The 18,870-nt window shown below is 52.4% G+C and overlaps 1 protein-coding gene across 1 annotated transcript in view, besides 8 other annotated features; it reads right to left on the bottom strand.

Annotated features, from left to right (window-relative positions):
- FOXK1 (forkhead box K1) overlaps positions 1–18,870 on the bottom strand; it is an 89,148-nt gene that overhangs the window by 19,148 nt on the left and 51,130 nt on the right. The window contains exon 2 of the mRNA NM_001037165.2: positions 11,272–11,457. Coding sequence (NP_001032242.1) covers positions 11,272–11,457 — 186 coding nt within the window. The remainder of the gene's footprint in view (positions 1–11,271; positions 11,458–18,870) is intronic.
- Positions 1,952–2,451: an enhancer, noted in NCBI's record as "H3K4me1 hESC enhancer chr7:4789475-4789974 (GRCh37/hg19 assembly coordinates)". NCBI's record gives its function as "activates a minimal SCP1, AML or CMV promoter by ChIP-STARR-seq in naive H9 embryonic stem cells {active_cell/tissue: H9 hESC(naive)}" and the evidence as "EXISTENCE:reporter gene assay evidence [ECO:0000049][PMID:30033119]".
- Positions 6,843–6,892: a silencer, noted in NCBI's record as "silent region_17901". NCBI's record gives its function as "represses an Ori minimal core promoter by ATAC-STARR-seq in GM12878 lymphoblastoid cells {active_cell/tissue: GM12878}" and the evidence as "EXISTENCE:reporter gene assay evidence [ECO:0000049][PMID:35858748]".
- Positions 7,003–7,102: a silencer, noted in NCBI's record as "silent region_17900". NCBI's record gives its function as "represses an Ori minimal core promoter by ATAC-STARR-seq in GM12878 lymphoblastoid cells {active_cell/tissue: GM12878}" and the evidence as "EXISTENCE:reporter gene assay evidence [ECO:0000049][PMID:35858748]".
- Positions 7,793–7,842: an enhancer, noted in NCBI's record as "active region_25561". NCBI's record gives its function as "activates an Ori minimal core promoter by ATAC-STARR-seq in GM12878 lymphoblastoid cells {active_cell/tissue: GM12878}" and the evidence as "EXISTENCE:reporter gene assay evidence [ECO:0000049][PMID:35858748]".
- Positions 11,402–11,956: an enhancer, noted in NCBI's record as "H3K4me1 hESC enhancer chr7:4779970-4780524 (GRCh37/hg19 assembly coordinates)". NCBI's record gives its function as "activates a minimal SCP1, AML or CMV promoter by ChIP-STARR-seq in naive H9 embryonic stem cells {active_cell/tissue: H9 hESC(naive)}" and the evidence as "EXISTENCE:reporter gene assay evidence [ECO:0000049][PMID:30033119]".
- Positions 11,957–12,510: an enhancer, noted in NCBI's record as "H3K27ac-H3K4me1 hESC enhancer chr7:4779416-4779969 (GRCh37/hg19 assembly coordinates)". NCBI's record gives its function as "activates a minimal SCP1, AML or CMV promoter by ChIP-STARR-seq in naive H9 embryonic stem cells {active_cell/tissue: H9 hESC(naive)}" and the evidence as "EXISTENCE:reporter gene assay evidence [ECO:0000049][PMID:30033119]".
- Positions 12,750–13,949: an enhancer, noted in NCBI's record as "MED14-independent group 3 enhancer chr7:4777977-4779176 (GRCh37/hg19 assembly coordinates)". NCBI's record gives its function as "activates an origin of replication core promoter dependent on BRD2, BRD4, P300/CBP and CDK7 cofactors, and independent of MED14, by STARR-seq in HCT116 cells {active_cell/tissue: HCT116}" and the evidence as "EXISTENCE:reporter gene assay evidence [ECO:0000049][PMID:35650434]".
- Positions 14,730–15,284: an enhancer, noted in NCBI's record as "H3K4me1 hESC enhancer chr7:4776642-4777196 (GRCh37/hg19 assembly coordinates)". NCBI's record gives its function as "activates a minimal SCP1, AML or CMV promoter by ChIP-STARR-seq in naive H9 embryonic stem cells {active_cell/tissue: H9 hESC(naive)}" and the evidence as "EXISTENCE:reporter gene assay evidence [ECO:0000049][PMID:30033119]".

Below are 18,870 nucleotides of genomic sequence, written 5' to 3'. Positions count from 1 at the left end.
TGTGCACCTGTAGTCTCAGCTACTCAGGAGGCTGAGGCAGGAGGACTGCTTGAGCCTAGGAGTTTGAGGCTACAGTGAGCTATAATTGTGCCACTGCACTCTGGCGGAGCAAGACCCTGTCTCTAAAAATAAATAAATAAATACATAAATAAACAAAGTTTTAACATTTTAAAAATTAGCTGGGCGTGGTAATGCACACCTGCAGTTCCAGCTGTTCAGGAGGCTGAGGCAGGAAGATGGCTTGAGCCTGGGAGGTCGAGGCTGCAGTGAGCTATGATCACACCACTGCACTCTAGCCTGGGCAACAGAGTGAGACCTTATCTCAAAAAACAAACAAAAAACCTCATGGAGTAAAACCCACAGGAAAAGTTGTCATTCCCCAGAGAATGATTTCAAGTGGAAATAAGAAAGGTTGGCGAAGCCTGGCTCCCACAGGCGAGAGAGTAGGGTGGTTTCTCCGCCACTTTCCCCAGCACTGGACCTGGCCTGGGCTGCCGGATCCTGGTGTCACTCCAGCCGGGACAGGTACGACAGCGCAGCTTCTGAGGTTTTCCAGCCACCTGGGCTGAGGGACCACATGTGTTTGTTCACATGGCTCCTCCAGCCCTCGGAGCAGCCCGTCTCTCAATAAGCCCCATTCAACTGTCCTCCGCAGGCGGGCCTCGGCCACGGGGCTGTGCCTGGTACCAGGCTCCTGATACCAAGGCCCCCGATACCAGGCCTGCAGCTGACGGAGGCGGGAAGCAGAGGCTGCTCGAGCCTCACAGCCGCTAAGAGCTGTAAAGTGCCCTGGGGGAAGACAGGTCTGAGGGCGCCCAGCCAGGGTGGGATGGGACACCCAGCTCCAAAGCCAGAGGCCTTGGAGCCATCCGGAAAACTAATCAAGACATCCCATGTCTGATGCTGGGAGTCCACGGAAACATTCCCTTAGCAATCTAAAGAAAATGCTGGGCCGGGCACGGTGGCTCACGCTTGTAATCCCAGTGCTTTGGGATTGGTAATCCCAATGCTTTTGGGATTACCCGAGGAGGGTGGATCATGAGGTCAGGAGAGCGAGACCATCCTGGCTAACACAGTGAAACCCCGTCTCTACTAAAAAAAAAATACAAAAAATTAGCCGGGCATGGTGGCAGGTGCCTGTAGTACCAGCTACTCTGGAGGCTGAGGCAGGAGAATGGCATGAACCTGGGAGGTGGAGTTTGCAGTGAGTCGAGATTGCGCCACTGCACTCCAGCCTGGGCGACAGAGCAAGACTCCATCTCAAAAAAAAAAAAAAAAAAAAGTGCTGAAGGCCAGGCACGGTGGCTCACGCCTGTAATCCCAGCACTTTGAGGGGGCCGAGGTGGGCAGATCACCTAAGGTCAGGAGTTCGAGACCAGCCTGCCCGATTTAGAGAAATCCCGTCTCTACTGAAAATGCAAAATCAGCCAGACGTGGTGGTGCATGCCTGTAATCCCAGCTACTCGGGAGGCTGAGGAAGGAGAATTGCTTGAACCCGGGAGGCAGAGGTTGCAGTGAGCCGAGATTATGCCATTGTACTCCAGCCTGGACAACAAGAGTGAAACTCTGTCTCAAAAAAAAAAAGATGGGAGACCGAGGCGGGTGGATGACGAGGTTAGGAGATCGAGACCATCCTGGCTAACACGGTGAAATCCTGTCTCTACTAAAAAATACAGAAAACAAAATTAGCTGGGTGTGGTGGCGGGCACTTGTAGTCCCAGCTACTTGGGAGGCTGAGGCAGGAGAATGGCGTGAACCTGGGAGGCGGAGCTTGCAGTGAGCAGAGATCGTGCCACTGCACTCCAGCCTGGGCGACAGAGCGAGATTCTGTCTCAAAAAAAAAAAAAAAGTGCTGAAAACGACGGCATACACGTGCACACATTTCCTCCTGCGGGAATGAGAAAGAGCAGGAAGCTGAGGGGACCCCACTGCTCCCTGACAGGGACCACCAGCTCAATTCCAGGAAACAGGGAATCACTCCTTCTGGGGTAAGTACCCCAGGCCTCGGTCAGGCCCCCCCCAGTCCCTAGCTGCCCAGGTGTGGGACGCAGAGGCTGGACAGTGACAGCCCACAGACGTCGCGGGAATCAAACGCCTGTGCCCCCCGATTGGAGGCTGAGAGAGGGAAGAAGCACAGTAAGCAGCTCACCCCTAGGCCCTGATTTTGCTTCCTTTATATGGAGGACAATTCCCAAGTCACATTTCCGCCTCAGGCGAGAGAGCTGGAGGATTCTGAGTACGGGTCTCCCGGAGCTGTGCTCACAGGGACAACCCCATGCTGACCCACCCCGGGCAGCCTCCACCGCATCCAGGGGCCGGGCCTAGAAGGTGCCACTGGGACCACCCAGGACATGCCAGTGCAGGGAGACTGCAGAGGGACGGACGGGCTGTGGGACACACAGGTCGCTGGGTCACGTTATGATGAGAAGTCACGCTGAGAAAGGCAAATCCAACAACAGACCTAAAGCCACCTCTGGAGCCGCCAGCTGGGCTCCGTCCCCAGAGCCTAAGACAAGCCTTCCCCAGGGCACAGGGCTGCGGTCCTTCCAGTCCACCCTCAATGCCCTTGGCTCTGCTCTGAGGCTGAGAAGGCCACCCTGAGAGGCCTAGGGTCGGGACAGTTATCGCTTCCGGCAGGCCCAGGGAGGACAGTGCTCTGTCAGAAGGGACCTGATCCCTCCTGAAGCCCTAGAGACACAGAGGGACCCGCCTGGAGGGGCTGGAGGAAGGAGCTGCGACGGAGCCTTGTGGGCAGTGGAGGGGCGAGAAGGCTGCGGGGGTCTGCGATGACCTTTGCGTCCCAAGGCGGCACCTGAAGCCTCCTGGGGGAACCTCCCTGCAGAGGAGGACGCTTGGGGTCCCTGCCCCAGCCCCTGCTCCAATACCAGCCGCTCTAAGAGGGTTTTTAGGACCTCACTGTTAAACACAACAGCCGGCCAAGGCACATCTGTGGTTTGAGGAAGCTTCTACCAGGTGGAACATGGTGCAAAACAGAAGAGAAGAGGGACCCAGGGAAGCCTACGGGAGCTTGGGAGGAGATGAAACATGGTTCCCGTCCCTAGGGAGGTAACGATGCCGTCTCTGTAGGACAGTAAGAACAGCATGCAAAGCACACCTGCAGAGCAAGAACACGCTCTTCAAATTAAAAAATAAGAATTCAAAAGAAGAGAAATACAAATCCAAGAAAGGGTGGAAGGAGAGACTGGAGAAAATCCCTCAGAAAGTAGAGAGAGAAAGGAAAGGAGAGGCATGAGAGACTCAGCTCAGAGGCCCGCCAGGCACAGCCAGTCCCAGAAGCGTGGACAGGAACCTGGGGGTCCAGGCGAGGTGGCTCACACCTGTAATCCCAGCGCTTTGGGAGGCTGAGGTGGGCAGATAACTTGAGCACAGGAGTTCAAGACCAGCCTGGGCAACATGGGGAGACCCCACCTCTACAAAAAATACAAAAATTAGCCGGGCATGGTGGTGCACACCTGTAGTCCCTACTACTCGGGAGGCTGAGGCAGGAGGCTCGCTTGAGCCCAGAAGTACCAGCCTGGGCAACAAAGTGAGACCTTGTCTCTTAAATCAGTGAATAAATGAAAAGTCTGTCTCCTGTGCCCTTTCCCAGGAAGCGACTGGGGGATGGACTCTGGTAAAACAAAGGAACAAATCAGGAAAGAGGAAGACGTGGGAATCAGGAAACAGCCCTCTCTCCACCACCACCTCCTGAGGGGATTCCCAGGATGGTGGAGAAGATGATCCCATGGTCAGAGGGGCCCCAGAGGAAGGCCTTCACAGTAAAGGGAGAAGAGGCCATTATTAACCCCAAGAGCGGGGGGAGTGTGGCGGAAATAAGCCAAAAGTACAAGGAAGGAAATGGCTAAGCGCTACAATCACTACACAGTTCTAATACAGAAAACGCTCATGCAAGGTAAACCAGACATGATGATGTAACTTTACTGGGATGGGGAGGGGGGAAGCTAAATCCTTAATTTCCATATAGGAACCTCATGTGTAATATCTAAAACGGAAAAACCAAGAGACAGTCACGTACGAATACGACTCAGAGACACAGAAGTGAGAGAGAAGGGCTCAGCTCTGGGGAGCGTTGTGTGGGGGAATTTTCACTTTCTGAAATGTTTGCATTTTGTAAGATGCATATAGATAGATAGATAGTCTCTTCGTAATCTGAAAAAGGAAAAATAAACAAATAGGGAAAGAAAATTTTCAGAGGCGAATTTCTTAGAATGATCTTAAAGAATGTGTTCCTTTAAGATAAATCCGACATTGTAAAATGCTGGGAAGCTATTTTTAAAAATTAACTAGTGGATTGCTCCTGTAGTCACGGCTGAGGTGGGAGGATCGCTTGAGTCCCGGAGGTCGAGGCTGCAGCGAGCCGTGACCGGACCACTGCACTCCGGCCTGGGTGTCAGAACAAGACCCTGCTTCAAAACAAAACAAAAACAACAAAGGCAACAACAACCACAACAAAAACAGGCCCAGGCTTGTAATCTTGGCACTTTGGGAGGTCAAGGTGGGAAGACTGCTTGAGGCCAGGAGTTCAGGACCAGCCTGGGCAAGACACCATCTCAACGAAAATAAAAAATGAGCTGGGTGTGTGTGGTGGTGGGTGCCTGTAGTCCTAGCTACTCAGGAGGCTGCAGTGGGAGGATCGCTTGAGCCCGGGAGGTTGAGGTTGCAGTGAGCTGTGACTGTGCCACTGCACTCCAGCCTGGGCAATAGAGTGAGACCCTGTCCCAAAAAACAAACAAACAAAAACAAAATCAACCCCCCAAACCCAAATTGGAACCAGCATTAAAAATAATAATTTAGAAAATAAAATTAACTTGTTTCTGAAGTGCACTTTGCCCTGGTGAGAATAACCAGCATGGTGGCTTCAACAGGAGCTGCTCTCATGTTAGGCATAGACCTCACAGAGCTGAGTGGGTGCTTGAGCGGAGAGGCGGCCCCGCAGCTAGGCAGGTTCCGGGGTCAGCTCCGTGTCTGCAGGCGCCTCCTGCTTCCCCTGAGGCTCATGGAACCCGGAAAGGGCTGTCCTCGTGCGTAACATGCCCGCACAGAAGCCATGCAACAGGCCTACTCCACACAAGCCGCTTGTCACCCGAGGCTGACCTGAGAAGTCGGGCGCTAGGACCCTCCGAGATTACAGGAAACGCGGGCGTGGGGATGTCCTTTCAACAGATTCGGACAAACACAAGGACTTCCCTACCAAGCTTCATTCCGAACTCCCAACACTTTAGCGCCAAAGTTGCCCCTCGAAGGGATCTAGGCAGGAGGGAAAAATAAAAGGAAGACAGAAAGTCCCAACCTTCCCATGTGGAGGAAACAATAGTTACTTCCCCAGAGTTCTCAGCTGGGAAAAGACATAAGAGGGTGTGGTGGGGTGGGGAGGGGCAGCAAGGCCTACAGGGACAGGGACAGGCAGACAAGGGAAGAGGGACCCTCACTGGATTTGCAAATGCTGGCACAGCCAGCCCAGATCAGCCAGGCAGGATTCCCGCTAGGGGTGATTCACACATTCGCACCACAATCCTCCTGCAGCCCTGCTGAAAACACACGGAAGGCTGCAGCCACAAACTTGTGTTTTTTAATTATTAATTTTTTGAGACAGGGTCTTGCTCTGTTGCCCAGGTTGGAGTGCAGTGGTGACATCATAGCTCGCCACAGCCTCCAACTGCTGGGCTCAAGCGATCCTCCTGCCTCAGCCTCCCGAGTAGCTGGGTCTAAAGACATGAGCCACTGCACCTGGCTAATTAGCAAAAAAATTTTTTTTTTTAGAGATGGGGGTCTCACTATGCTGCCCAGGCTTGTCTGGAACTCCTGGCCTCAAGCAATCCTCCTGCCTCAGCTTCCCAAAGTGCGTCACCACACCCAGCCAACCAGAAACTTTGAAAGAGATGAATCACCCTGCAGGAAGCTACCAAAGTTGTCAGAAAAAGGAGAGTATTTCTAACGTAGATCCAATAACCTCCAAACTCAAAAGACCTCTAACTTTACAAAACAACATAAACCAAGTTAGGACTGAATGTTATCTAGCAATAAGACAGAACTGTTTAAAAATCATGATTAAAAGGGAAAGATTTTGAAGTCAGTTGCTGCATTTTTACTGTATATTTACATACTGCTGACCTTCGCCGAATTGTACGAGTTACTTTCATTTTTGATCTCCACGTTGGAGAAATCAGGAAGAGCCTTAAGAGAAACAGCTCTTGAAGTCTTGCCCTCATGAGCAAAAACAGTCACTCTGTGCAATGTCCTTTCACTGAATTTCAGCAGTTTTCTTAAAACTCTACCTCTAAGGAACACTTTTTAGACTGGTGTCTGTCTGATGGAACCTAGAAAATGATTAACTACTTGAATTCTTTCATTAAATACTTTAATTCCTTCCTAAAAACACTTTTTTTTTTGAGATGGAGTCTCGCTCTGCCGCCCAGTCTGGAGTGGTGCAATCTTGGTTCACTGCAACCTCTGCCTCCTAGGTTCAAGCAATTCTCCTGCCTCAGCCTCCCAAGTAGCTTGGATTACACACCTGGCTCATTTTTGTATTTTCAGTAGAGATGGGGTTTCACAATGTTGACCAGGCTGGTCTCGAACTCCTGACCTCAGGTGATCCGCCTGCCTCAGCCTCCCAAAGTGCTGGGATTACAGGCCTGAGCCACCGGGCGCCTGGCCTGTAAAAATCCTTCTTTGCAAAAAGGAAAGAAAAGGTCAAACTTCTGCTAAAGATAGCAGAATTTATTTCAAAGAGAGTTCATTCATTTTCTGGGTGGAGTACTTCAGGGCAGAAAAAAATAAATCAGAAACACACACACACACACAAAACCACACACCCACACCCATACCCACCCACCCTGGGAAAAGGAGCGAGGGCCTGCGAGAAACGGAAAGGAAGGACGCAGGGTGGCGCGGGGGGCGGGGGCAGGGGCAGCTGATCAGGGAGGCTCCCCCAGGAAAAAGCCGCTCCCAAGCCACTCCCGACTCCTGGGAATGAGGGGCCCTGGGCGAGCCCGGCCTACACCGAGCCAGCCACTCCACGGCCAATGAGGACTGGCGAGGCGAATGCACACCAAATTAGGAAGGCAGGCACCGCGGGGGCGGGGCGGCACTGGGAGGGGACAGCCTTGCAGGCAGCCAGCTCTTCTGGCCTGGCCCCGCTCCCACCTCCCGATCTGTTAGGGAGCGCAGCCAGAGAGGAGGAGAGTGGGGAGGTGGCAGGGAAGGGCAGGGAGTGTTTGTAAACACGCCGGCTCCACCCTACAGCAGAAACTCAAACTGAAAAGTATCTTGGCAGGGAAAACCTCAAGGGCCTCTGAGGTTTCTAAACACTCAATTGAATTCCAGGGTGCTAAGATAAACGGATGTAAACAGAGAGGCTTTTATTGTAACAATGGAAGGCCAAAAAGCCAGACAGCCAGTCCCTAACTTACTACTTTCTCCGCACAGAATTCTCCCCAACAAGAATCCGGTCTTTGCACAGGGCGGTTTCAAAGAACAGGACTGGGCGGAAGGAGGGGAAAGGGGTGGCCCCCCACCTTCCTGGCTCCCGCAGCAAGAGCAGGGCAGGTGCAGGCCCAGGGAGCTGCTCGCACCCCCTGACGGGGACTCGCAGTCACAGGAGGCCGCCACCCAGCTTCTCAGAACAGCTCCAGCTGCAAGAGCTTCAGGTGCTCAGTACACAATTTCTTTACTCCCAGCTATAAAAAAGAATGAAATCTTGACCTGGGCAGCAACGCGATGGAGCTGGAGGCGCTTATCCCAAGTGAACCAACTCAGAAACAATACCGCACAGCGCCTGCTCTTGCTTACAAGCAGTGGCTGAACAGTGGGTACCCGGGAACAGGAAGATCGAAACAATGAGAAACTGGGACTCCTAAGCAGGGAGGCGGGAGAGGGCGAGGGGTGAAAGATGACCTACGGGGTACGCGGTTCACCCTTTAGGTAACGGGAACCCCAGAAGCGCAATCCCCACCAGTAATATACCCATGTCACAAATATGCACGTGTACCCCCTGAAGCTAAGATAAAATAAAAATAAACAGTATTTTCCCTGCCGTAATTTAAAACACAGGTATCACTTAACTCCTTCGCAAACCACAACCTCTCTTGTAATAAAAGCGACTTTACTATGCAAATTTGGATTAACACTGGGAAATAGTTTTATTTTTTTAAGCCCCCTCCCGGAGCAAACCAAAACATTTTTCTTTCTTTCAATACGGTGAAACCCCATCTCTACTAAAAACACACAAAAATTAGCCGGGCGTGGTGGCATGTGCCTGTATTCCCACCTACTCTCAAGGCTGAGACAGGGGAATTGCTTGAACCAGGGAGGTGGAGCTTGCACTGAGCCAAGATCACGCCACTGCACTCCAGCCTGGGCGACAGAGCAAGACTCCGTCTCAAAAAAAAAAAAAAAGCTTCTGTTTAGCTGGATTACAACCTGCTGATTAATAACCCACTCCCAGGCTAAGGCGGGGGCGCTGGCCTAGCCCTTCCTCAGGAGCCCCGGATCGCTGCCTGGCCTGCTTCTCTCTGGACCTGAGGCCTTTGCTACCCGCCCCAAAAGCAGCAGGACCAGCCTCTTCTGGTGTGAGCTTCCACTAGCACGTGAGCTGGTCTTGGCCACCATTTCTACAGCGCCTTTAAGGTGGTACTAGGTGAAGACTTAAGTACATATACTGCGCTCAACTGCTTTCTTCAGATGCAATTCCCATAACATAAAATTCACCATTTATTTATTTACTGAGAAATGGAGTCTCGCTCTATCGCCCGGGCTGGAGTGCAGTCGCGTGATCTCAGCTCACTGCAACCTTCACCTCCTGGGTTCAAGCCAGTCTCCTGCCTCAGCCTCCCGAGTAGCTGGGATTACAGACATATGGCACCATGCCTGGCTGATTTTTGTATTTTTAGTAGAGACGGGGTTTCACCATGTTGCCCAGGCTGATCTCGAACTGGCTTCAAGTGATCCACCCGCCTTGGCCTCCCACAGTGCTGGCATTACCAGTGTGAGCCACCGCGCCCGGCCAGTTCACTCTTTAAAGTGACTTTTAGGATATTCACAAAATTGAATAACCATCACCACTATCTACTTCTGGAACATTCTCAAAGCTGTATGGACTACATAAAATACTGCATGTGCACTGCTCAGCACAGGGCCAGGCGGGCACACACCAGGCTCTCAGTCACTTAGGATTCACCATCATCATCATCCCAGAGGGTCATGACGTCACAGCACTGACTCAGACGGGAACCGGGCCCGGGAAGGTGGGGGGCTGAAGTGACCGCACAGAGTCACACAGGTGACCATGCCCGGCCTGAGCCCGGGGCCTCTCCTTTCCGCAGCAGCACTGTCCCTGAACTTCTCTCTCCACGAGAGACACTCCCACCCACTGGCTCTGGAAAAAAGGAGACCTACTCCAAGCAACTCAAATGGAGATGATTCCCACCTTGTAACTTGTAGGTCACTGGTAACTTGTCGGCAAAGCAGGGTAGAGGAGCTGTGCCCCTGATGGCTGTGTTCCAAGAGAAGCCAGTGTGTAGTTCTAACTGTGGACCCTGAAAAGGTGCAGGCCATGTACGGGCTGGGTGTGTTGGCTCACACCTGTAACCTCAGCACTTTGGGAGGTGGAGGAGGGAGGATCTCTTGAGCCCAGGGGTTTCAGACCAGCCTGGGCAACATAGCAAGACCCTGTCTCTACAAAAGATAAGAAAATTAAGTGGGTGTGGTGGTGCATGCCTGTGGTCCCAGCAACTTGGGAGGCTGAGGTGGGGAGACCGCTTGAGCCCAGGAGTTGGAGGCTGCAGCGAGCTATGATTGCGCCACTGCACTCTAGCCTGGACGACAGAGTGAGACGCTGTCTCTGAAATACAAACAAAAGCCCTTTCTTCTCCTACAGCTGCAAGAGGAAAAAAAGAAAAAAGCAAGCCAAGGTGCGGCCGGGGTTCAGCAGAGTGCGCAGATCAGCAGGGAGGGACTGACGTGACCAGCCTGGGATTGCCACAGCGCTCGCTCCAACAGATCAGCATGCCCAGAGCGTGCTTCACAGATGTCCCCGAGGGCCCTGAGCCCCTTTCAGGGTATATGTGAGGTCAACACCATGTTCACAACAGCCCTAAGATGTGATCTGCTTTTTCCACTGGGGTGACCTTTGCTGGTGACGCGCGAGCGACGCAGAAACTGCTGGTGCTGCGGAGGAGCCACAGCTCCGGCACCAAACCACGCGCAGCCACGCATCTGCAGAGCCACAGACGTGCGGTTGGGAGAGAAAAGCCAGCCACGTTTAGAAATGTCCGCAATGAAGAGGTAAATCATTAAAGAATGTATGAACCCTCCAGCCTCAAGTACACGTCTGTTTTTGCATCCCTGTATGACAGGACCAGGGCCAGGGCTGTGTGCCATGCATCCAGGCTGTCGCCTGAGGTTCGTGTGTGACTCAGTCTAGGGCTCACCGGCACTCCCTACACAGAGCTCTGTTTATACTTTTCACCTGCAACCCCTACTCAGGGGCTCATCATTGTATAACATGCCAGAGATGAGGAAGTTTGAGGACTTTCTTCAAAATCTAGATTAATTTCTAAAAGGTCATAGAGAATTTTCACAAATGAAGCTTAAAGAAACAAAGTTCACCAAATCCTGGTGGACAAATATTACTTTAAAACATTTTCAGCCGTGCGCGGTGGCTCACGCCTGTAATCCCAGCACTTTGGGAGGCCAAGGCGGGTGGATCATTTGAGGTTGGGAGTTCGAGACCAGCATGGCCAACATCGTGAAACCCCGTCTCTACTAAAAATACAAAAAATTTAGCCAGGCGTGGTAGCAGGCGCCTGTCATCCCAGCTACTCGGGAGGCTGAGGCAAGAGAATCCCTTGAACCCGGGAGGTGGAGGTTGCAGTGAGCCGAGATCGCGCCACTGCTCTCTAGCCTGGGTGACAGAGCGAAACTCCATCTCAAAACAAACAAACAAAAAAAAAACATTTTCAACGCCCTTTAAAAAAAAACAAAAAACAACAAAAAAACCTGTGCTTGCTTTAACAAGCTCTAATATGTAAAATTTCCAGTGGGAAAAGTGATGATCAGGCAGTGATTTTTCCCTTTGTAAGAGAATTCACGGAAATTTCAGCCAGGTCCCGGATGGACGTACAACACTTTCTGTATTTCCATGCACGTGCAACTTTCCAGAGAGATTTGGAACCCGGTGCTGCGTACGACAGGCACGCTCGCATCATCCCCCTCTCTCCTGGGGGCCCAAGGGCAGGCTGGGGGGCTACTCACCTGATGGTGCCCGTCGGGGAGGGGACGGGGCTGACCATGCTCCGGAGGTCCGGCTCCGGGATGTGGATCTTCAGAGGGGAGATCTGGGGGTACAGTGGCCGCAGCGGGGAGGCTGGGGCCTCTTCTTTGTGATAGAGCGACGTGAACTGGATCTTGATGGCCGTGCTGGGAAACCGGAAGGTACACCTGCAACAGGAGGAGGAGCGGGTGTGAGGTGCAGGAGGAGACTCAAGAAGACGCCAACACCCAGGGAAGGTGCGTGTCTGTGTGTCTAAGTAACTGGACCGTAACTCTCAAACCTGGGCCCCAGAGAGCAGTTTCGATGCTTTTATCAGGACACTTAGGAACTGAGACTTTGGCTTATTTGGAAGTCACTTGTCTTTCTATTTCTTTATTTTATTTTATTTTATTTTTTGAGAGGGAGTCTCGCTGTCACCCAGGCTGGAGTGCAATGGCAGGATCTCAGCTCACCGCAACCTCAGCCTCCTGGGTTCAAGCAATTCTCCTGTCTCAGCCTCCTGAGTAGCTGGGATTACGAGCGCCCACCACCACGCCCGGCTAATTTTTTGCATTTTTTATTTATTTTTTTTTTTTGAGAGGGAGTCTCACTCTGTCGCCCAGGCTGGAGTGCAGGGACACGATCTCAGCTCACTGCAAGCTCCGCCTCCTGGGTTCACACCATTCTCCTGCCTCAGCCTCCCGAGTAGCTGGGACTACAGGCGCCCGCCACCACGCCCGGCTAATTTTTTATATTTTTAGTAGAGACGGGGTTTCACTGTGTTAGCCAGGATGGTCTCGATCTCCTGACCTCGTAATCCGCCTGCCTTGACCTCCCAAAGTGCTGGGATTACAGGCGTGAGCCACCGCGCCTGGCCAATTTTTTGCATTTTTAGTAGAGACGGGGTTTCACCACGTTGGCCAGGCTGGTCTCGAACTCCTGACCTCAGGTGATCCACCTGCCTCAGCCTCCCAAACTGCTGGGATTACAGGCGAGAGCCATTGTGCCCAGCCGTCAGTTGTCTTTCTACTGTGTGTGAGAACAGAAGAGATATAAATATCCCCAGACAAGTGCCGCTGATGCCATCTCCCACGCAGGCTCCAGACAGACACGGCTACTTCCTGTCTGCCAGGGCAACTGCTGTGGCACCCAGGTGGGATCTGCCACCTCTCAAATGACACACTGGAAGACTGAAATAGCACGGCAACCACCTATGCAGACATTTTCAAGATGATTCCCTGCCACTGCCTAGAAGATCTGACAACGGAAGGAGCAATTCCACCCCTGCTCCGGCAGGCGGGAGTCGCAGAGAGCGTGCATTATCCACCCAGAGCTTAATGGACCGGCTTCACGATCAGTTCTGGGCTTAAAACCGTGAGCCTCGGTTTTTCTACTGGAGACGACCAAGTGCAAACAAAGCCAGCCGCAAGCGTCAGGGTCAACACCAGTGTGCTGTGAACAGTATCCAGGGTTCATCTGGCTTGAAGAAACTGCCACCTTTTACAAAGCTGAGCATTACTTATCCAGGTCACCTTTCAATTTCTAAACTGATGAGGCAGCAACTATCAAGTTGCTAACTGTGGGACTCAGTTAAAAACAAAACAAAACAAAAACAAAAACAAAAACAATGTAAAGCAGCAGCCTGCCCACACAGAGATAAGGAACGCTGGCCGCCTGCGCAGCTGTTTGGAAAAGGCTCTTGTTTAAAATTGTAGGAGGGGGTTAAGAAAGAATGTACATAAGCCACCGGTGATAATGCGCTTTTCAGAGTTCCCGAAGGCATTCAGGACGGGCAAAGTACTCAACACTTGAGAGACGCTAAGGTCTCTTGTAGTGGAACCTGCATGAAGCACCAGGCTGCTGGGTCTATGCCTGACTGTGTTTTTAAATCTGCAGCAATGTTTAAATAGTCAATCTACGTAAAATCCTGCATGGACGTGCGCAGACACCCCTCTTTCATATGAAAGTCCCTTTGCTCTTCGTCAAAGCGTTTTTGAAAGACGGGACTGAGGAGCAGGTCAGAGGGTGACGAAGGGTGCCTGGCTGTCGGCAGGGGGTCCTCTTGCGTCTTCTTCCCAGGGACCCGCTTCAAAGGAAGTGACTCAGCATTACAAATGTGCGGCTCCTCCCATAGGTCTGCTAGCCAGGCTGCCCACATGGAAGAGAGAAAATCAGGCACTTAAGCTGGCTCAACTGGGCCAGTCCTGATTCTCCCCGAGATACTGGTCAGAGGAGGCTGGGCCGCATCGTTCAGTGCCAGGCGCTGTCAGGCCTGTGGGCACCAGGTTTCTACTTCCAAACACAAAAGGGACTCTGAGACTGTTTCCAAGATGAGAAGCTGTCTGGGAGGCACGGCCCAGCGAGTGAATCTTGGGGGATAAGGGTGGGTGGTCGGTCACCCCTGAGGTTTAGAAGGGCATCCCAAGGCTATTTGAAAATACTCCACAATTCTGTCCTCTTAAGTCACATTGAGAGGAACGTCTGATGTCCTTTACACTTTCTTCAGTCCAGCCCAGTGGAGATTTCCTGCATCAGTATTTTGACTAGAAAGCTCCATCACCCATTTTCTTTTTTCTTTTTTTTTTTTTTGAGACGGAGTCTTGCTCTGTCATCCGGGCTGGAATACAATGGCGCAATCTTGGCTCACTGCAACCTCCACCTCCTGGGTTCAAGCGATTCTGCTGCCTCAGCCTCCCAAGTAGCTGGGATTACAGGCACGCACCACCACGCCTGGCTAATTTTTGTATTTTTAGTAGAGATGGGGTTTCACCATGTTGGCCAGGCTGGTCTCAAACTCCTGACCTCAGGTGACCCAACCACCTCGGCTTCCCAAAGTGCTGGGATTATAGGCATGAGCCACCGTGACTGGCCACATCACCCTTTTTTTTTTTTTTTCTCTTTTTGAGGCAGAGTTTGGCTCTTATTGCCCAGGGTGGAGTGCAATGGCGCAATCTTGGCTCACCGCAACCTCAGCCTCCTGGATTCAAGTGATTCTCCTGCCTCAGCCTCCCGAGTAGCTGGGACTACAGGCATGCGCCACCACGCCCAGCTAATTTTGTATTTTTAGTAGAGACAGGGTTTTTCCATGTTGGTCAGGCTGGTCTGGAACTCCCGACCTCAGGTGATCCTCCTGCCCTGGCCTCCTAAAATGCTGGGATTACAGGCGTGAGCCACCACACCCGGCCTTGCATCACCCATTTTCTAAGATGCTCTATGATACCCAAGGGCTCTTCAGTCCTGGGGGCTGTTAGCTTTTGTGGGTCCCAGAGCCGACATCCACCCAAGCTGGTGTCTGAGGATGGGACTGGTGTCCCTGACCTAGGGAAGCAAGGAAAGAGGTTTGGGGCCAGCATCTGGCTGAGGGTCCAGGCAGGGGACCTAAGGTGAACTCCAGCTGTGAACGACGGTGCTGAATGAACACAGTGTCCATGTCTGTATCAACACATGCATGCACACACACACACACACACACAGGCACGCACACACGTGCATGAATGCACACATGCATGCACGGACACGCCCACACACCCACGCACACGCCCACACCCACGCACACACACACATGCACACGTGCACGCACACACACGCATGCACACACACCTACCCGTTCCACCAGTGCTGGACACGATGGCAGTCATGATGACAAATGTTTAAAGATAGCTTCTATGGCCCTTGCCATTTGTCTCTTTTCTCCAGTTCCCTCAACCACTGCAAATCAACGAAACAGACCATGTTCTCCTATTTGTCAGAAGGGCACAGTTGAGACCTCTGACTTTCTGTGTCGTGAAAGTCCCTATGTTAATATGGGATCGGATCACGCTGCAGCCATCAAGGCCAAGTAGAAAGAAGATGTGGCTTCTGGCCCATGACTGAGGTCACAAGAAGAAGGGGATCCTGGAGATCGGGGTTTGGATATTAAGACATGAAGAGGTGTTTTTTCGTAAGACATTTGCACACGCACATGCACACACACGCACAGAAGAGGAGCATGGTCCCCCTCTGGACTGGCACCTGAAAGCCAGGTACTAGCCAGAGCCCATCTGACCTTGGGCTAAATCACTCCCCAACTCCAGTGGGGTGGAAAGGCCTTCCCAGGCTTGACTTCTCCCTTTCAAAGAGCAAATTGTGGCAGGAATGAGAGCCGTAAGGTGTGCGGATTTGAGACAAAGGTGAACGCCACCAAAAGAGAAAATTGGTTTAGAACCACTCACCCTAACCTCTCTGCGCTTCTGTGATCTTTGCTAATAAAACAGAATGGTTGGAATAGAAGACACCATCTCAAAGGTGCTTTCCAGTTCAAAACCTGATTATGGGCTGGGCACGGAGGCTCAGGCTTGTAATCCGAGCACTCTGAGTGGCCAACGTGGGCGGATCACCTGAGGTCAGGAGTTCGAGACCAGCCTGGCCAAAAGGCAAAACCCCCCTCTCTACTAAAAATACAAAAAATGAACCAGGCATGGTGGCACACACATGTAATCCCAGCTACTCGGGAGGCTGAGGCAGGAGAATTGCTTGAACCCAGGAGGCGGCCATGTCAGTGAGCTGAGAACGCACCACTGCACTCCAGCCTGGGCAACAGAGCAAAACTCTGTCTTAAAAAAAAAAAAAAAACAAAACTGATTCTAGATGATATGTACATATGTATTGAGTTTTCACTAAAACAAAACGATGTTTTATAGGACAGGCAGGGATCTAGGGATCTAATGCCATCTATAGATGACAATTTCCTACTGTAATAGTAGCTTTCCAATTAAAGTTTAACAATAAATATTTTCACAGTATCTGCCGTAACAGTGATTGTCCTGAGGCAGGTGGCCTCATTACTAGGAGGAGGAGAAAATGCTATGAAGCATGCTACTTGATTTTATTTATTTTTTGAAACAGAGTCTCGCTCTGTCACTCAGGCTGGAGTGCAGTGGTGCGATCTCGGCTCACTGCAACCTCCGCCTCCCAGGTTCAAGGGATTCTCCTGCCTCAGCCTCCTGAGTAGCTGGGATTACAGGCACGCGCCACAGAGCCCAGCTAAGTTTTGTATTTTTAGTAGAGACGGGGTCATGTTGGCCAGGCTGGTCTTGAACTCCTGACCTCAAGTGATCCACCCGCATCAGCCTCTCAAAGTGCTGGGATTACAGGTGTGAGCCGCTGCACCTGGCTTGATTTTTAAATAGATGTTTCCCCAGCATGCTCAGGGAGTTTGCCAGTTACATCTCTCCCTGTAATATCTTGATGGAGGTGCAGGGCTCTAGCTGGAGTCTGAACGAGCACGTTTTGCATCGTGAAGGTGCTGCACGGTGGTTTAAACCCAGCCACACACACTGCCGGTCTTGACCGGCGGAGATTCCGCTAAGGTTAAGTGTGTCCACAGAGTAGAAATCTCCGTCCACCAGCCCGGCGGAAAGGTTCCTGTACGAGCAAGTGCCCATCTGTGGAGGACATCTCTCCAGAACATTCTTGCCCGACTTAGAAAGGAGCTTAGTGGTTGCCTAGGGCTGGAGTGACGGGTGGGACAGGCAGGGGGGACGGAGAATGACTAAGAGCTAGGGGGTTCTTTCTAGAGTCAGGAAAATGTTCCGAAGTTGACTTGGTGGCCGCGCAACTCTGCGAATGCGCTGAAAACCACGGACTGGAACAATGGAAAGGGTTAGTTGTAAGGTATGTGCAGTCGATCTCAGGCAAGCTGTTTTTGGGGAGAATTCTTGCCCAAAAGCTCCCACACTGAGGGTCTACTCCAGCCCTGGGTTTTTCCCAGGTCCACCCAGAAGCTGATGGCTCCTGGAAGTTGGGCCAAACTGGTGACTTGGTTGGAGATGACACTGCCTGGCTCAGCCTCAGACCACAGAGCCGTCTCTACACAGCGAGCTGGAACTGGCCACCGCTCCACCAGTGCTGAGCCCGAGTGACTTGGGGCATGTCATGTGCCTTCATTCCCATCCCCTCCCTAGGCCACAAATCCTACCACCTGCCCGGCCAAACAGAAAGCTGTCAGGAAAATAAAAATAGCTCACTTAATTCTCGATGACATAAATATAAATACAATTGTCATCATTTCAGACTCAGAGAAATAATCAGAGAGGGAAGGAAGAGCCCGTGAAAGCTTCCGGAGGCGATTTTTAAAATGAATGTGACAGATCGCTCCTGTCCACCGCTGTCCCCTCGCCCCGTCTCTCCCAGCGGAAGGACGGGTTTACTTTCTGGATGGGGTGAACCCGAGGCCTGGACGAGGGCACCCAACACAGAAGCGGCAGACAGTGACATCTCACGCCAAAAATAGCCTTGCGACCTGAAATTCTGCAGGAGGACCAGAGGCTCTCAGCCCCCCAAGCTTCCAGAGCTGAGCCCAGCTATCAGCAGACAATGGCGCAGGAGAAAAGCCTGAGACCCAGCCTTCCTGAGCCCCCCATGAAGCCCCAGGGAGGGAGCCCCGTGCACCGATGCCCACGCACACTTGGGCAGCGGGGGGGTGGGCCGGGGGGCACCTCCCCTTCCACAAGAACAGACACTTGGGGAATGCCCCCATCAAGGAAGACAGGGACTGAGGCAAAGGAGTTTGAGGGGCAAGGAGGAAGCAGACGATCTGGGGAGTGGTGGAAGCCACAGAGCATCTCATCCTCCCAAGGAGGGAGCGGGCCCTGCACCTGCCCACCAAGGCCAGGACCACAAGAGCCACAGCCAGGGGAAACGGGAAATCTTGCACAGTTTAAAGTGACTCAGAAAACATCAAAAGGAAGAGGCTGGATGAGATCTGTCTCAGGAAGGACAAAGAAAACAGGAGCTTCAGAGGCTCTGTCTGGGAGGCCTACGGCTTGAGATAGAGTCACCCCACACAAGCCGCTCCTTCTCAGGAGCTCTGGGAATGCATCTGCTGTCTCCTAACTGCTGTGGAGTCGCGTGTCTTCTAGGAGCTGGGCGGCACGGTTACTAAGGTTAAAACACAGGCATCGCTTCAGTGGTTAGGGGTTGAGGACATGGGTGACGAGCTGGAAGTCTGATGGCCTTCCCTGCGCCAGGTGAAGCTTCACCCACGGCACGTGGAGGGCAGACTCCACGTGGCCAGCACCTGCCACCCAGATGAGCTCTGGGGGAAGTCCAGGGTTGGCGCGTGCTGGGAGGTCCCTGTGGCTTCCCCAATCCCATGGCGCTGGCTATGACGGCCAGAGAGAGGATGTCAGCCGGACTAAAGACCAGGGAAAGGCTCCCACCGTCCCACCCAGCCTGCAGCTTCGGGGACCTCAGAGCAGCCTCTCCCGTGAGAGAAACAGCAGACCCAAGAGCAAGGGCCAGAAGACGCCAGGCCGGTTTTCACGAGCGATACCTGCAGGATGCAGTTCCCATGTGGGCACTGGGCAGCTTCCTGGACTGTGGCTGAGGCTGTAGTTCCCAGAGCACCTTCTCTCCTGCTTCTATAGCAAACATGGAGACAGAGAAACGTCCACCCAACTGAAGACCATGTTTCTCTGCCCCTCTTGCAACCATGAGACTATGAGCTGGTCAATGGGATACAAATGGGTCATGTCTATATGAGGAACCAAGGGCCTTCTTCACTCCTCCCCTTCCCAACAGCCAGATACTGCTGTGATGGCAGGAGCCGAGCAGCCACAGTG

Source organism: Homo sapiens, chromosome 7 (genome assembly GCF_000001405.40).
Source record: "Homo sapiens chromosome 7, GRCh38.p14 Primary Assembly".
Classification (NCBI taxonomy): domain Eukaryota; kingdom Metazoa; phylum Chordata; class Mammalia; order Primates; family Hominidae; genus Homo; species Homo sapiens.
This window is presented reverse-complemented; position numbering and strand designations above follow the sequence as displayed.